This window comes from Homo sapiens, chromosome 2 (assembly GCF_000001405.40).
Source record: "Homo sapiens chromosome 2, GRCh38.p14 Primary Assembly".
In the NCBI taxonomy this organism is placed as follows: Eukaryota; Metazoa; Chordata; class Mammalia; order Primates; family Hominidae; genus Homo; species Homo sapiens.
The window spans coordinates 45,328,946-45,346,672 of record NC_000002.12 but is presented as its reverse complement, the minus strand read 5'-3'; the positions used below and the strand labels follow the sequence as shown (position 1 = coordinate 45,346,672).

At 48.9% G+C, this 17,727-nt stretch overlaps 1 long non-coding RNA gene across 1 annotated transcript, besides 2 other annotated features; it reads right to left on the bottom strand.

Annotated features, from left to right (window-relative positions):
* Positions 1,802-2,619: an enhancer, noted in NCBI's record as "H3K4me1 hESC enhancer chr2:45571193-45572010 (GRCh37/hg19 assembly coordinates)". NCBI's record gives its function as "activates a minimal SCP1, AML or CMV promoter by ChIP-STARR-seq in primed H9 embryonic stem cells {active_cell/tissue: H9 hESC(primed)}" and the evidence as "EXISTENCE:reporter gene assay evidence [ECO:0000049][PMID:30033119]".
* Positions 2,620-3,438: an enhancer, noted in NCBI's record as "H3K4me1 hESC enhancer chr2:45570374-45571192 (GRCh37/hg19 assembly coordinates)". NCBI's record gives its function as "activates a minimal SCP1, AML or CMV promoter by ChIP-STARR-seq in primed H9 embryonic stem cells {active_cell/tissue: H9 hESC(primed)}" and the evidence as "EXISTENCE:reporter gene assay evidence [ECO:0000049][PMID:30033119]".
* Positions 13,096-15,384, bottom strand: LOC105374577 (uncharacterized). The gene is made up of 2 exons (XR_001739448.2): positions 14,734-15,384; positions 13,096-13,862 (listed from the first exon to the last, which is right to left on the bottom strand). It is a non-coding gene; the product is annotated as an uncharacterized LOC105374577 (long non-coding RNA).
* Between the last annotated feature and the right edge of the window lie 2,343 nt (positions 15,385-17,727).

Genomic DNA, 17,727 nt, shown 5'->3' with positions numbered 1-17,727 from the left:
ATGTTTAACAACTTGCCCAAGGTCATACAGCTGAGTGGTGAGGCTGCCAGGATTTAATTCCAGGACTGTCTAATTCTCAAGCCAAGCTCTTAACCACAATGCCATAGTGTTTTCTGCTAGAGAAGGAAGCCACCAAACTGACTCTCCACTCTTTCAAGATTCAACAAATGCTTCCTGAGTGCCCACCATGTGCCAGAATCTGTGCTGGGCTCTATGGCAGTGAATGAAGCTGCTTGATGGGGCAGCTTACAGTCTGCAGAGTTCTGAGTTTGCCAGTGGTTTTTGTAGAGTGAAGTAATGAGTTTTATAATTTTTATTTGATTTAGCCCTCAAGTTGTTAACACCTCCAGTGCAGGGGCTGGGAAGAAGGTTGTCTATAAATATTAGTTCCCAAAGTAAAAATGGCTCTTTCATCTTGGCAGACCTAATTAAGCTGTTGATTAGAGAAGGATCAACACCTCCGTCTGTAACAAAAGACACTGTCTGTCAGTAGGAGGTTCTGTCAGGGCAATTTCTCCTGCAATTTAGAACACTTGGGAGGACAGAACCCAGGCAACTCAGGGTGTCAAAATGGATAGGTCTTACTTCACATAGCTCCCCCACCACAGACACACAGACACACACACACACACACACCCCACACAGCCCCTGGGAGACTGGAAACCTTGCAGCCCAGTCACCTGGGAGGCATTTAACATCTCTTTAACAGAAACAGAAGCTTCAAGCAATAGACAAATTTACTGACAGAATCCGTACCGATTATGGGGCACAAATGGAGCCTGGCAGCTCTGGAATATCTGCCTCTGTTTAGAGGACTCCAGCCAGGACAGCAGTGGTGCCTGGGGAGAAAATGACATTGGAATCTGGCCAGCCCCAGGCTTCCCCATCTACTTCCCTCCAGCAGCACTCGTTGCCCCCCTGGGGCATGCAGCTGTGGCAATCCTCTCCTGGGAGCAGTTACTGGACACTGACTTTCCTTAAGTCTCTATTGCAAAGAATAAGCTTTTTCTATGGAGATTCAGGGAGTCTACCTTGGGATGGTAGGCAGGAATGAGAAGTACCTTCTTGCAAGAAAGCCTGTCCCCCTCAATGTGAAGATCTGCCTGGAGAGCCGGCGGGAAGCATTCACCCAGCCTCCACCCCATCCCCACCCCAAGGCCATTCACAGCAACTGCAGGGAAGTGAGGGAGTCACAGCTTCATTAAATCACCTCCCTGCGACCCACAGGGTGTGATAAATGGAGTGTGTGTGTATGTGTGTGTGTTGGGGGGCAATTTTCTCTGTAGGAAATGGGGATGGCCATTCTAAACTTACTATAATAATAGTTGGCATTTATCGTGCACTTACTATGTGCCAGGCACTGTTCTAAGCACTTTACATATATCAACTCATTTAATCCTCATAATGACCCTATGAAGTAGATATTATAATACTAACCCCAAGTTACAGATGAACAGACTGAGGCACAGCTGACAAGGGAGGCTGTCCTCAACTACTGTGCTCCTGTCTGTGGACCGTGGACACTAGTCTGAACATTTACCAGTGACGCGAGTGGCCCATAGGAGTCAAACTCCCTTTATCAGCACAGACAGTCAAGATGATGTGAGAAGGAAAGATGCTGATGGGGAGAATTCTCATAAGGGAAAAGGATTAAGGAAGTGGATAAATTCATTCGTTCAGTCAATTCATTTTTATTGAGCAACTACTATGCACCAGTTACAGTCTCTGAGTTCGTGGAGAAGAACAAATCAACAAAGAAGTTTAAAAATTGCAAGTGGTGATCGATCCCATGGAGGTAGCAAATGGGACCAAGATAGAGAATGACAGGGCTGGAGGGAGAAACCCACGTTAGAGAGGGCATCGGGGAATGTCTCTCTTAGGTGACATGGAAGCAGGGGCTAGTGTGAGCCATGTGGGGAGCAGTGGGAAGGGCTTCCTGGGAGGGCTGTCATTGCAAAGGTGCTGGGGGAAACAGGCTTGGTGGACTGAGAACCTGAAAGACCAGGATGGCCAGCCAACTGTGAGTGGGAGAAAGGCTGCATGGTGAGGCCGGAGGGTGGGGGCACACAGAGCAAGGGGTTGGGAGAGGGGGACTTTTGATTTGGTTCCGAGAGCAATAAAAATGTATTGAAGAAGCTTGAAAGCTTCCCAGAGGAGAGTGACATAAAAGAACCTTGGCCTTTGTGAGGAGAACGACTGGAGAGCAAAGGAGCAGGCAAGGCCAGGGAGGCAGGAAGCTGCAGCAGCAGCATGCCTGGGGCCACGGGGTGCTGAAGAAGACCCTGGGGCCCGGGAGCAGCAAAGGAGAGAGCAAGCCACTCCTGAACATGTGGCAGCTGCTGGGCGAGGCGGTGTTTCCTCTAGAAGGACAGCATCTCCAAGGGGTGTTGCCAAGATGGACAGCGGACAAAAGGCCTGGAGTTGCCTCGCAGTTACTAGTAGGCTCCGATGCCATGCCCCTAAGGGATGGAGAAAGGAGAGTGGCGTGTGATGGTGGCTTCAGGAAAGGCCAGAACTCTGGTGCCTGGGGGAGAAAGGGACATCAGAATCTGGGCGGGAAGTGACCAGAAGGACAAGGAGGGTGCCATTCCCTCCACAGACATACCCTGAGCCCCGACCATGCTGCTGGCTCTTGGGCAGCAGGAGAGGGCTTCATGGCTGTGACCTTGGAGGTGGGCCCAGAAGGCTGAGTAGGGATCTGCAGGTGGAAGACAGGTAGGAGGCCTTCCAGGCGGAGCCCTGTGGAGTACAGCGCTGCTTTTCAGAGCCCAGGAGATAGTCACTGTGGCTGCAAGCCCCAGGACTGGGAGGAAGGAGGCCAGGCTGGGAACGGATTGTCAAAGGCTAGAGGGGGGAGTTTTCCCCCAGCAGAGCCCTGAGCCAGGCCACCCACCATGAACAGTCACACAAATGGGGCGGGATCTCAGCCTGGCCTCTTGGCGTGTCAACTCCGTGCCTTCCCTGACCACATGCCCAGGGCAGATCGCTCCGCACGCGCCCCCACAGCCTGCTGGTGGCCACCTCATGTGCTATGCGTCCAGGAAGAGAATCAGTTGCAGCGGATCTAAATGTTAATAAAAACGAAATCCCTGAGCAGTCACTGAAATTAGTCCGGGTATGATTGAAATGCTAAGGCAGGTCTTGTTATTTTTATGAAGCCGTGAATAATATAAGTATCCAATTGATAAAATGTTATTAAAGCTGACAGCCCTTAAGTGATCTAAGTGGTAAATATTGAAATGAGGTCTCTGCAACACTGTGCCCGGGCCTGCGGCGGTAATAAGCATTGAACAATGATTCTGGGGGCTCTGGGGGGCTGCAGAGCTTGGGGGAAGCAAAAACACTCTTCCTCCTAAATAATTAAAGCAGGATTCCAGGGACTGATCGCAGGTTCTTGTAGTGGTTTGTTAATGTCCAAAGGAGCTGGCTTCAGGCAAAACCTCTGCTGGGCTATCCCTCCCTAACCTGGGGTGGGCAGGCAGTGGAGGGGGCTGGCTCCGCTCCCCACGGCCCCCAAGGATCCTGCACCGAGCAAGCTGCATATTTCAGCCTTTATTTATAATATAAACAGACTGGTACAGCCTGAGGGCAGCTAATAGTTGATGAGCAGTGGGGGGCTCCACGTGGGTTAGAGATTTTATTAGCACTGCCTTGGAAAAAAGCCACCATGGAGAGAAATTTAAAATGTGGTGTCCTCCTGATAATTAGATCACTGAAGATGCTGCAGGGAGCATCTTTCTTTACCCTACTCTTAGAAAAAGAAGCCAGAGGCTCTCCAAAAGCTTTCATCTAGCTCATCCTTAGCTATAGCTGGAGTGCTGGGGTGACTTGACCCTCCCTGAGTTGGGCCAGGTGATGAGTGAAGTTGTGCTCAGTCCCTTCTAGGGCTTAGGGATTATGGCCAGAGAAAGTATACTTTAAGCTGATCTGTGGGAGACAAGGAGGTGGGGATATGGATAGAGCCCCTTGTGACTCCTACAATGACAGAAGGGCCAGCAGAGGTGACTGAGCCACAGACTTTGGTCCCAGCCCAGCTGTGTCAGGCACCTTCCAGAACCTGTCTTTAAGGGGTGTGAAGAAAGGGTCAGGAGGCCTCTCTGGTCCTGGGAGCCCTGCTGGGTGTGGTGATAGTGCCTGGATGTCAGGGTTTGGGGCTGGATGGGGAGATCCCACGCTTTAATCCATGCTTCATAATTCCAGGACATACATGCCAAGAGCTTGGGGCCTTTATGTTGAAAAAGTCTCCTTGGCCCAGTGACCCAGAGTTGAGGAGACTGACCTAGGTCTGCAGTGTCTCCTGGGTGGCATCAAGCTGCCTGATATGGTTTGGCTCTGTGTCACCACCCAAATCTCATCTGAAATTGTAATCCCCATAATCTCCACATGTTGAGGGAGGGACCTCATGGAAGGTGACTGGATCATGGGGCAGTTTCCCCCATGCTGCTCTTGTGATAGTGAGGGAGTTCTCACGAGATCTGATCGTTTTATAAATGGCGGATCCCCCCTGGGCTTAACACACTCACTCTCACCTGCTGCCATATAAGATGTGCCTGTTCTCCTTCCGCCATGATTGTAAGTTTCCTGAGGCCTCCCCAGCCATGTGGAATTGCCAGTCAATTACACCTCTTTTCTTTAAACATTACCCAGTCTTGGGCAGCTCTTTATAGCAGTGTGAGAACAGACTAATACACTGCCCTTTTTGGAACAAACTTCTTGAGGATAGAGTGAGGACAGATGAGTCCAGTTATTTACCAAGGTCCTCCAGGCTTCTAGGTGAAAACTGGCAGAAGCCGTCATGGTACAAGAATTGTTTACATAATGATTTTCACTTATAAGATTATTTACTTTTTTCAAAATCTATTTTATAGGTAAGGAAACTGAGGCTCAGAGAAGTTAAGTAACATTAAGTAACGTGTCCAAGTGATACAGCAACATGGAGTCCTTGCTCTAAAAACCCATACTTCTGACTTTAGGCACAGGGAAGAAATGATTCTAAAACATTAAAGCTCCTGTCTCCAGTCTTGATTTTGCCCTTCATTTCCAACAAACTGCTGCTTTTGTAGCATCTTCAGGGTCTTACCTTAAACAAGTTGAGTGGGCTCTCTCAAGCAATTCTGTGGACTGACTCTGCTTTCTGCAAAGCCTTGGAGGAGAAGCTCTGTTGGGAGCTGGCTGTGTCCTGCCTATCTCCCATCACAGTCAGGCCCTGCCCTTCCTCTGTGTTCTCCGTGTGCTGCTCACAGCTGCCATTTACAACTTCCATGAAGATAGAAATTGCTCCTCCCCCAGCCTTGGGCTCTCCACCTCCAGACAATGAAACGCCATTGCACGTATCAATCAGCAGTAACACCTCCTTACATCAGCCCAGGTCTTTTGGGCTCATCATCACACTTAGGCTCACTACAACCCTGTGAGTGGGCAGGGCAGGTTTCCCCAGGTTACAGTTGGGGAAACTGAGGTTTAGAGCAATGGATGTGAACTTAGCCTTGTTAATCAAAGTTTCCTGGTGCAAAAACATCCTTTCTGCCCTGACTCCCTGATGGCCGATGCTGCCAGAGGTAAAAGGCAGCCTGGACTCTTGCTGAGTTGGCAGTGGACCTCAGAAAGCCAGATTCTCTCTGCAGGAGATGAGCATTCTGCTGTGGGTAATCTAATGGAGTGGGACTTGCCTTACCAGCCATTTTTGACATCTGAAAGGAAAGATCGTGGAATATTTTTAAGGAACAGATGGAAGAGCCCTTGGGGATAGGCAGTGGCTTTGAGTGTAGCTCAGGAATAGGGAGCAGTTGGCAAATACACTAAAGAATATTTAAACTAGCGCAAGCTTCAAGTAGCCCACTTGTGTGTCTCAGAGCCTCTTTGGGCCTCTGTAAACAGCAAATCGATTGAGCGTCAGACTGTTTTCATAGCTGTCCTGCACACTGGGAATATTAGATGAAGCAAACCTTTTATTTAGTTCCTGACAGGTAATTAAATTTGCCTCTGCATTGGTTTGTGATCCAGCCAAGGAGCCAGGAGTAGCATTCTGAATGGCTGCAGCTATTTGCTGGAATATTACAACTTAATTTTGCCTCTCAGGTTGTAAGTAGAGATCTTGATTCAGTGGAAAGTTTGACTCAGGCTTGGGGCTCCAGGTTGGAGATTTCATTTTTTCCAGCAGGAGTTTGCTCTCCATCTCAAACATATGAGAGCCCCGTTTCCACATTTTTTCCAGAGTGGCAAACTGTGGGAAAAACTGAACGTTACAAAGTAAAGAAAAACAGCAACTGGCAATAGCAAGGGAAGGAATCCGATGCTGTCCAAAAGACCTGTTTCTTTGGGAATCAGGGTTTATTTCAGTAACAGAAAGTAGTTTTGGATTCTGTGTTCACTGCAAATGCCAAAAAGAGCACCATGGCTCTGAGAATTTTTACAAAGAGCTTGTGAGATTAGGGAGTGCAGGAAGGGCCTGATAGATGTAGCTTTCCTTAAAGTCCAAATGCAGTCTTGGGGATAGTTCTCCATAATCCACCGTAGCCTCTTCCCCGTGCACCGCACCTGGACTCCACGGGTGGCGCAGCAGCCTTGAGCAGCCGAGCAGCTCCGCAGCTCCTCTCCTTCCTGGTATGGGGGGCCAAACTTGCTCCTTGTTCAGCAAATGCCTGGTTCGAAGGATGGAAGAGAGGAGCTACCAGGTTGCGGCACCAAAGTAGAATCACAGAAACCTCATCGTTGAAAGGGACATTGAAGATCTTCACATCTTACCCTCTGCCCTAATCCGTAATTCTATCTACAGCCTCACAGCAAGGGCTTGTCCACACTATGTCTGAATACCTCCAGTGACAAGAAATGCACTATCCACCAAGGCAGCCTTTGTATCTCTACATAGCCTTGTTCTTCCCTTTACAACCTGAGGTGGGTCTCCCTTTAGCTTCTTCCCTGTGGTCCTTCCTTGGAACCATATGGAAAAGCTCGATTGCTCTTCCACCTGGCACATGTAAATAATGCTCAATAACTGCTGTCTATGAGTATGATTTCTGAGCCCCATGAACCCAAGCTCCCTGTGTACCGCTTGCCCCTTCATTTTGCAGCTCACCCTCAAGCACGATATGGTTTGGCAGTCTGGTTCTGCTGCCTGGAGTTTTCTGATGCATTAGTAATACCACTATTAAGTTTCTCAGAACAGGAGTGGAGCCCATTGCAGCACTCCCTCCTGCCGCCACAGTGGCATGCACTCCGTGCTCACAGAGGGAAAGGCTCTGAAAGCCATAGGCAGAGGCAGCTCGGTCTTTCTTTTCCCAAACCAGTGCAGGTGGAGGATCCTGGAGCTTCAAGAAGCATTCCCTCAGGAGCAAACAGAGCCTGCAGTTCTGGGCTGAGAGGACAGGGATGGGGGAGTTGGCCTGACACTGGACTTGCTAGCTATTCATGTAATGGTGCCTCCAGAATCCTGAGCTCTAGCCTCAGGGCTGAGTTGGGCTAGGGTGGGTCATGGAAGGCTATCCCCAAGATTGAGTTTGGACTTCCGGTTGGGCTGTTTGGGGGTTTTCCTGGTCCAGTCTTCTGCTCCAAAAAAGAAATCCTGAGCTTCAGGTTATCAGCCAACCAGGAAAGCTCATGTGACTTTAAGAACTATGCCACTAACATACTTGGATTCACAAAACTATAGTCAGAAAGTTTTGAGAATTTGGAGTCAGAAGTCTCAGGTTTAAATCCAAGTTCATTCCATCACTTACCATGTGACCTTGTTATGTCTTACAACCTCTGTGATTCTTTTTCCTTTTTGAGTCTTAATTCCTCACCTATAAATTGGGTCTAATAATATCTACATGCTACGTTCTTCAGGGGTATCCTAAAGAATGGATGATCTCACATTGGAAAACTACTTAGCACAGTGCTACACATCACTGATAGATCCTTATTAAATATTCTTCTCCCTTAGTTCCCTTTCAGTTTTCTCATCTTTCTTGGTGATGATAATGCTTATTTGGCAGGATTTTCAGGATCAAGTGAGATTATCTATCAATTACAAAGTGATATATGATGCTTATACTTACCATTATTATTATTCGGAGAGGAACATATTAAGCGGCCTTGGTAGGTATCAGGGATATTGGCTGGGCTATCTTTCCACCCTGGTGCCAGGCCAAAGGCCAAGGACTCTTCACCTTACTCCACGGGCAAATGAGGGAGACATCGCGAGGCAGTGTTAGGGTGTCCTGGAGGGAACAGAGGCGGCTATGGCTATAAAGTGTTCTGTTCATATATTTATTCTGAATACATTTACTGAGGGCATCTAAAATGCTGTGTGGAGTGATGTTGTCTGTGGACCTTGCAACAAAGTTTTTAGATGCCGAGAAAGTAAATTTGCCCCAGAAATTGGTTCATGTGCAGGTGTGCATTTAAGTTCTACGAACTAGGTCTTCATCTGACCATGACCGAGGGAAAAGACATTTCTCCTTTGATGTTTGAATTTTAGAAAAAAGAAAGGAAGAGAGGAAGGAAGGGAGAAAGGGAGAAAGGGATGAGGAGGAAGAAGGAAGGAAGGAAGGAACAATTAGAAGGTCTCAAAGAAATTATTCAAGCACTGATGGATTCTCATGGAGTTAAAGCATGACTGTTGTCAGGTCTTGAATATATCTGGAGAACTCTGTCCTGTGGGTTTGTAGGGGCTTTGAGGGCCAGTGAGTGTGGGGCTAGAGGTCTTTGTGGACTCTTGCAATGGGAGTGCTTCATTTGGGTTGACCGTCTGTGACTCTCTACAGGCAAAATTGACTGGTGCTGCCATTTTTCCAGGGCTGGAGCTGCTTGGGCTGCTTATTGCATTTGCAGATTTGCAAGCAAATGTATGTGTTTTACAAATGGAGTGAACGCCCTATGTTTCTGATTGATGGGCCATCAGTTGCACAGTTGTTGGGCAGTGATTGATTTTCCAACCCAGCTGCTCCAGCTGTGCTGCAGATGCGCCTTGTCTGAAGTCAGAGGGCTAGTGTTGTAAGCCATGGAGAAGATCCTAATTGGAGTGATCCCTGAGAAATTGGCCATTGTGATGGCTAACAGCCATGAATTTTGGGCTTTGCTTGGGGTGCTAAACTATAAGCTCTCCCTTGGTAATTGCCATTCCCAACTGGATCAGTGCCATTTTGAAATTCATGATGACGCAGATGGGGCCAACAGAAGCTTATTCTTGCATAGTCTGCTGAACCAAAACTCAATTTTTGAAACATCTTGTTTTGAAATTCCAAGTTAACACATGCTCATTTTAAAGTTCTCAAAATATATAGAAAGGTAGAATAAAGACAGTGAAAGTCAACCACATTCTCACCATCCATAGATAACCATGGTTAATATTTTGATGTATTTTATTTTGGTTATTTTATTCTATATGAGTATAACTTACACTTTTTCAGACTTGGGTTCATACTTTAAACATAATATACTTTTAAATTTTTTAATTATAATTGGGAACACAACATATGCCTTTAAATTAAAAATAAAATTGGTGAGCACACAGATAATGTAAGCTTGATTGCAGCTGGAGAGAGAATTACAGTAACATGAGGAGGGGATAAGCCAGGAGACCTGGCTTACAAACGGTCTTGCCCTGGCATTAACTTATGCTGGGTGCCTAATCTGTAAAATAGTGACATGAATACCTGCCTCACTTTCTCAAGCGGTTATGAAGTGCCATCCTGTGCCACACATCCGAGTCAAGCACGTAATAAAGGGAAAATATTTTCATTATCACTTAAACAAAAATGTTCCCAGCATGTCAATTGTACCCATTTGTTTAGAGTCTGGCTAATTAGAAATGATCCTGTTTCACTGGAGTAGACCAGGTGGGCAGCACATGATCAGCTCTTCCTCTGGGTTTTTACTGTAGAGGTAACATGGGGATGAGAGAACCTATTCTGCTTGTGGGGAGGGTTTGGGCCAGGCCTCTTCAAGCACCAACATCTGCCATTTAGTATCCTTAAAAGGGTTAACACAGGATTTCTTTTAAACACATTGAAGGATAACTTTTTGCTGCTCGTTAAGGCCCTTCCCTACTTGGTCCCGAGGAGTGACTTTCTGGCAGTATTCTCCGACATGCCTGTTCAGAGCACTGGCTTCACACTGTGGGCAGGGCAACCCAGTTCAAAGGCTGCCCTGAGGCTTGGAGGGATGGTTGACCACAGTGATACATCACAGTGGTGCCTCCTGGCAGGGCTGCTGCATGGAGGCTCAAAGGGCCTCTTCACCTTGGGGGTCTGGGTCAGGCAGTCGAGTGGCCACGCTGGCTGCTGATTCCTTCTGCCAAGGGGGTCCTTTAAGATTTAGTCTCTCTGTGGCCAATAAACTCATCTAACATCCAAGTCAGGACTGGGCCCCCTTCTGACCTATATATGACTGATGGCGGCCTAACTTTAGGGTCATAATTTGAAAAGAGACCCCCCCCAAAAATCAACTTTTGTGCTTTTTGAGTTCTTAAAATTTTTATTCCAGGAGAGGAAGTTAAACTCACAGGAACTCCCTCTTGAATGTCTAGGTTCTGGCCCCTGGACCACTCCATGTGGGGTTTGATGTTTGCTGAATAAAATCCTCATAACAACTAGTGTAGGGGTCCTCCAGCTTGCCCGCACATGAGAACCACCTGAGGTTCTATCCCAGACCAATTAGATCAGAACCTCTCGGGGCAGAGCCCAGGCCGTGGTATTTTAAAAAAGCTCCTCAGATGATTCAAATGTGCTGCTAAGGTTCCAGACCATTGAAGGGGGTAGGGTGGCTTCAGAGAATGCCGCCAAATGCCCTCATTGCCAAAGTGACAAGACTGAGCCCAGGGGAGGTGAAGTAACGTGTTCACTAGAAAGCACAGCTAGACAGAGGCACGCTGACCTCTGGAGTCCCAGTCTCTGAGGTGAGCCACCTTTGGAAGTGTTCTGTTGGTCCTGAATATGAGCTGAACTAGTGACTCTTATCCACGTAGCAGCAGCTATAGAAACAAAGGGCAAGCGCGCTCTAGGAAGTCTTTTAGTTCTATGAAGACTGTTGTGGTGTTTTCTCTCCTCTCTGGTGCTGTGGCTGAGCAGGGTGTCACCAGTGACCTGGGGAAGGATCCATGATACACTTAGAGGATTAGAGGCGACATGGGGGAGGGGGCGGGAGCCCTGATGACCGGCAGGATGGGGGGCTGGACATCACAGAGCTGGGAGTGAGAACACCCAGCTCTGTCTTCTCTTTCTGCTGTGGCTTTGCCATGTTCCCAGCCTCCTCCAGGTTTCCTTTTCCCAACTGCAAAAATAAGACTTCATTTACAGAATCTTAGGTTTACAAGGTGCTTCCAGAAGACGTGTGCTCTGGTCCTTGCAGCAGTGCTGTGAGGCAGAGGGAGCAGGAAGCTTCATCTCCATCTTATAGATGTAGCACAAACGTTGAGAAGCTTCACAGGCCTCACCATAGGGTGATAACATCTCAGAGCCCACTCCCATCCCATCCTCTAGCATTTTCTAGAAGTTTCCAAGACCTCATATGAGTTCTTAAACCAGTCTGTTGGTTTCAGACTCCAGGCACAACTCACCTATCCTTCCTGCCCAGCTTCTGGGACACAAGTCCTCACCCCTGCCCCTTGGCCCTCCCACATCCCCTGCAGTGTCAGTGCTGGGTGAGGGTCACTCGCCGGATGGTCCCAGGGTACGGAACTCCTTCTTGCCCAAAACCAGTGCTGCTCTTGGCCAGCCTGGCCTTGAGAGCTTTGCTTAGCAAGAGCCTCCTGAGCGTTCTCCCAGCTTCTGCTACTGACCCCGCTAGCCACCCAAGTCTAAGCAGTTTGATCATTCCTCCAAATTCCAATCTTCTCAACCCTTCATGCTCACCTTGACCTTCAGAGCTTCTGAGAGTTTGAACAGAGCCAATTGAGCCCCCCTGGTAAGTCTGGGGCACAGAATGGGGCTGGGGAGGGGCGTCAGCCACGCGAACAGAGCTGCCTGCCACTAAGGTCCTGTTACACAGAGGAGGAGACTGGGGCCCCACGTCACTGAGCCTGTGAGTGACCGGGTGAGAAAGGAAACCTCCACCTTCTGAACCCAGGCCAGTGCAGATGAGAGTCATACCCAGTCCAGGGAAAGGGAAAGCAGGCCTCCGAAAGAGCACATGCCAGTGCCTGGGGCTGATTCTGAAGGCCACCCTCTCCCCCAACGCCGGCCTTCAGGCCCAAGCACCCTGGGGCGCTCCCAGGCGCAGGTGGGCCATGGGCTGCCCGCATCCCCACCGCTAACAAAGGCCCCGCGCCCTGGCGGCCTCCCGAGGCCGGCGGCCTTTGAAGCGCACAGCCTGGATTATTTAATATAATGGAACAGTGCAACCTGACCCATCAGAGACATAAATTTCCAGGTGTTTTAAATTTGTTTTCCCCGTCAGAATGGTAAATGGCAGATAGTAAAATTCGGCACCAGGTCGTGGCTGTGGGTGCAGAGCTGGCCACAGGCTGAGCTCCTGCCACTCCAGGGTGGGCTTGGCGGCCTAGGCAGCCCAGGGTGCACCAGAGGTGGCCCCGTGTCCACGGACTACCCTGGACATGAGGCTCCGAAGCTCTGAAAAGGATCCTAGGCCAGGGCTGGGTGGGGATCCCGGGTCCTTAGTTTCAGAAGGAGTCTCAGGGTATCTAAGTCTTCTGGCCATGAGGGTCTCTCACCCTGACATCTGTGCAGAGAAACCAGCAGCCCCACGCCCCCTAGGTTAATTGAGGTGTGAGTGCCTGTAACACCCATAACGAGGTTTCTATTGCTCTTGCCAAGTTCCATTATGGACGCATCTGCTTTCTGATTTTTCCAAGATGGTTTGATTTTTTTTTCTTTAAGTCCAAACTACAAAGGAACAGTCTGCACAGTAGCTTTTTGCAGAAGGTAAGAGATGCTGACTGCTTTTTCCAGACCCCTGCTTTTTTGAGATGTGTCAGAATCCACAGGGCGGCTGCTGAGGATAGATATTACTCCGAGTGATTCTGGAGAAATCTGATCCTCGCTGCCACTCCCCACAGGGCCCTTCACCCTTTTCCCTTCAAAGTCATAAAGGATGTCTACCTTTGTGAGGCAGATTCCCCTGCCTGCTACCTACAAACCTGTGATCTGTCACTTTGAATGGATAAATCATTTCATATTTATTTCCCAAATGGAAGCACTGGCTCAGAGAAGGTGGAAACGCCAGAAATTAGTGTAATTTAGGGGATGGAAGTGGGAAGGCCCTTGTTCCTTACCAAGATAATTGTCATTCTCTACTTGCTTTGGGGATAGGGCCTTAAACACGGATAGCTTCTGGTGTAATGAAATAGTTACATTTTACTGATAAAGTTCTCTCTATTGGTCCAGCGTTGTGTGTGTGAGTGTGTACATGTGTGTGTGTCTGTGGGGGATTGGGACCAAGGAAACCCAATGCAGATCTGTGAGACAGTAGAGACAGTAGGCGTCAGCTGGCCCTCGAACTTACCCTCTGGTACCCACAGATGCGCACAGCTCACAAAGCTGTGTATGGAAGGTGTCAGTGGAGCAGGGACAGTCGTTGGGACTAAGAAACTCAGAAGCTAGAGACAGGACAGACTCTTTCTGGCCTCGTGGTGAGGGAGAGGCTTTCTGGAGGAGGTCAGCCTTCAGGCTGGGGCTAGGGAGATGCCGAGGGAGGGGCAAGCATGAGCTCAGGAAGGAGGAAGGCAATGTGCAGTTGGGGCTAGAGGACAGTGAGAGATGGTGTGTAAAGACCAGAGCCTGGTGGGGCAGGACCTCAGGTGTCCTGAGAAAGCTGCTCCCCTGCCTGTTGGCCTTGCAGTTGTGTTTTCAGCCTGGAGTTTCTTCCTGATGACATGGCCCCAAGAGCAGGAGAGTGCTTCAAAGGTCAACTTCCTGGGCTCATTCCTGGAAACAGGAAACAGCGATTAGCAAATCAATTAATTAAGGCCCAGTAAACCACTGGATTATAAAGAATGGTTATTTGTTAACTGAAGACAGACCTTGGCCCCTGCTCAGAGGTGTGATTCTGGGAGAAGGCTGACCAGGAGCATGCTGAAGACAGAGGCAGGACTACCTATGTGTGAAATTCCAGCAGCCCAGCTCTGCTGATGACAGAAATGGCCATAATAAACCAAGGAGGTCACAAGTCAAGCAAATAATTTGGTTGACAAATAGGAGTATAAACAAGACCTTGATTAATGAATTTCCTAATAGTTCTCTGTTTATTGACATTAGCTCAGCTTGGTCATTAAGCCTGACATTGCCCATATATGTTGCATAGCATAACACCTTCCATTCATTCTGAGACTGCTTTGTAGCTTTTTGCCTGGATGTTTTATGCTTTAAGTCTTGTCTCCCTCACTGGGCCAGGAGCACCTAGTTCTGAGAACCCTTTCTATGCTTGCTGAAGAAAGAGGAAGGTCCTGGAGCTTCCTGTGAGTGGTAAATAGAGAAGTGAGAGAAGAAAGAAAAGCCTCCAGCTTCAGCATCTTAAATCCTAGGCATTGGGCTGGGAATCAGGGTCCAGCTCCCTCTCACTGTAACTATTGTTTCCCTTTTGGACTAACCTGTTGTACCTGGATTGCTCCATCTTTGAGGGGAAGGGCTCATTCTAGAAGGCCCTTCCTCCTCCTGGTGTTACAGGCATTGAAAAGGGAACACTGAATGGGCAGGAGAACGGAAAACACACTAAATAGAGCGAAGGTATCCCAGAAGAGCATGAGCTTCTCTGAGGCTTATCTTGGCCACCACTTAGCCTGCTTCTAACTGAACTTACCAAAGTGCTTTGGGGGACCTTAGCCATTGCCTCTGATGTTCAGAACCTAAGACGGGGTTGTCCTGGGAAATTGCCAGCGTGCCTAAAGTTGATCACCAATCCCTGGCCAGAGGACACCAAGAGCCCCTGTTATTGTCCATGGAATGGGAATGGGCTCTGTCAACCTGGGCCAAGAGTCCGGCCTGGAGCAGCTTTGTAGGCAGCTTTAGCAACACGGTGAAAAGCAAAAGCAGGAGGAGTTGAAGCTGTAAATGCCAGCTGTATTTTTATTGGTCGTCTGCAACTTCAAAGCTTTCACCTCTTTAAAGGAGGCCCACGCAGGTATCCAGTCGGCTCTCCGAGCTCCCGGCCTTGATGCCTTATTGATTTTCAATGTGGCTTGACTCCCAGGTGGGCAGACTTCAAACTGGTCTGTATTTTTCTGCTGTCATGTTTCCATCCTTGTTAGTTTCCATCTCCAGCAAGATCCTGGGCATGTTTGAGGGCAGCTTTCCTTCTTTGGCTTTCTCTCAATGTTCTGGACAGCATTTCAGACATCCAGGGCCGCCACCGCTGGAGTTGTGTCTTGTGTGATTAATACCCAGCTGTGCCAGATGCTGGCAAGTGCAAGAGAGAAGATGCAGCCTTGCTCTCAAGGGATTCACACCCATCGGTCCATCTAAGTGTTTTCTCAGTGTGGTCACTAGGGAAGGTGTGGCCAGCGGTGGAGGGTGGGGCTGGTCACTTGATGCCACCACCCCCTTTAACACATGCTCTTCAGGACTGACCTGAAGCTGCCAAGTGTTTACTGAGCTGTTGTTTGCCCAGTACCGGGGAGAACAAACATTCATTCAGTGCCTACTACAAATATTCATTAATACGTTCATTAAGTGCCTGTAGTAGGCCAGGCACTGAGCTTTGCTGATATTTACTAGTAGCTTTATCTAAATTTCATGTAAATTCTATGCCACTCTGTGAAGCAGGTTATTCTTAGCTCCCTTTTATAAATGACCATGCCGGATTGCAGGGGTTTAATAATTTGCCCAAGCTTACTTCACAAGCAAAAGGCTGAGCAGGGTCTGAGCTGCTCTTGCTTGAGCACACCAGGCTGGACTGGGTGTCTGTGTGTGTTGGGGAGGAAAGGGTACAGGAAGCTTGTCATCTCATTGGCACACAAATCCTATTCATGTGGAATAAATGAGCAAGATGAGGCATATGTGTGGCAATAATAACAAAAGCAAACATTTCTGGCTGGGTGCAGTGGCTCACAGCTGTAATCCCAACACTTGGGGAGGCTGAGGCTGGCAGATCGCTTGAGGTCAGGGGTTTGAGACCAGCCTGGCCGACATGGTAAAACCCCGTTTCTACTAAAAATACAAAAAATATCAGCTGGACGTTGCACGCCTGTAACCTAAGCTACTCGGGAGGTGAGGCACGAGAATCGCTTGAACCCTGGAGGTGGAGGTTGCATGAGCTGAGATCATGCCGCTGCACTCCAGCCTGGGCAACAGAGTGAGACTCTGTCTCAAAACCAAACCAAACAAAAAAACCAATAGCAAATATTTCTATAGCACCTACCAGGTGTCAGGGACTGTTCAAGTGTTTCACCAATATGAGCTAATCCGCATGAGTGCATGGAGGCCCAGAGGAGTTGGGTAATTCTCCCAAAGGCACGCAGCTGGGAAATGTCAGAGTTGAGATTCAGACACTGTGTCTTAAACACTTCATTGAGTGTCAAGACGGCCAGCGAGGGGCACCAGCAGTGTGGACTGAGCAGTGCCTTCTCTTTGAGAGCTTCACTGCCTGCTTTCCCAGACTTGACCTCTTCTAACCTCCAAAGAGCTGTGAGGCAGTGGCCAGGCCTCAGTGTCACCCTCCTTGATAGATTAGGCAGACAGATATCAAGTGGGTACTCAGGATGACCCAGACCACAACCCAGCCTCCTGTCTTTCCACTGCTGGGGCTTTCTAGAGGAAAAAAAAGTATCTTATCCAGTTGGGACATTGAAGAGATGTTTGGTTAGAAGTGTCTCACCTGCAAATCTGGGACAAACAGATCCAGAAAAGCGGTATCCTAAGAAGCTGATCCAGGAAAGCCAGTTCCTCGCCTGCAGTTCCATCTGCTCTGGCTGCCAAGGGAGCTGGGAAAGTGATTTTTGTGACTATCAAAGAAAGAGGCAGTGTAGGTTGGAGAGGAGGCTGGGTCCAGGTCCTGGGGGAATTCCCTGGTGCCCTGGGCACAGGCCTTCTGCTCTGCAGCCTGCCTGGCTCAGCCATGCAGGAGGAGAGGCCTTTGAAGTCACAGACCACCAATAAAATTGCAGCTGGCAGCAGGAGCTTACAGGACTCCAGGCGTGAGATTTTACACCACTAAGGGGCTAAGCCAGTGTTGACAGGGCTTGGAATGTGCCCTGGACTCCTTTTTCTTCTGCAAAGAGCCACTAGGGTGCCTCAGACCCTGGCTACCCTGTCACCCAATCAATCCAGGCTGCAGCAAGGGCCCGTGAGTCACCACAGGGAAGCGAGAGGAGCAGCTTGCAGTGTGGACCCAAGCCTGAAGCACATGCAGCTAACGGCTACAGCGCTGCAGGCTGTGAGCCCAGGCTGGGTTGGGAGGGCACAGGCGAGGCAAGGCTGTGTGACAGATGTGAGACCAGCAGCAGGGGAGAGCAATGAGGATGGGAATGGTTGTGGGGAGGAGATCATACATGGTGGCCCTTTAGGTTTCAGTATTAGCAAAGGCATGGAGGCTGGAATAAAGGAGGCACTGTTGTTCTCCTTCCTCCCCCTCTTCTTTCTCCCTTTCCCTTGTCCTCTACTTCCTCCCTTTTCCTATAGTCTTTAAACTGCTCTTTACATCTGCCCCAGTGCTGGGCATGGCCCCGTTTCTCCTTCTAAGGAGCTCAGGATCTGAGACAGGCAGCATCCTCAAGGCTGGGCTTTGGATCAGGACCTGAAGAAAGGGGATCAGTTGATGCCAAGAGAACCTGGCCAAGCACCATGACTGCCCAGAGAG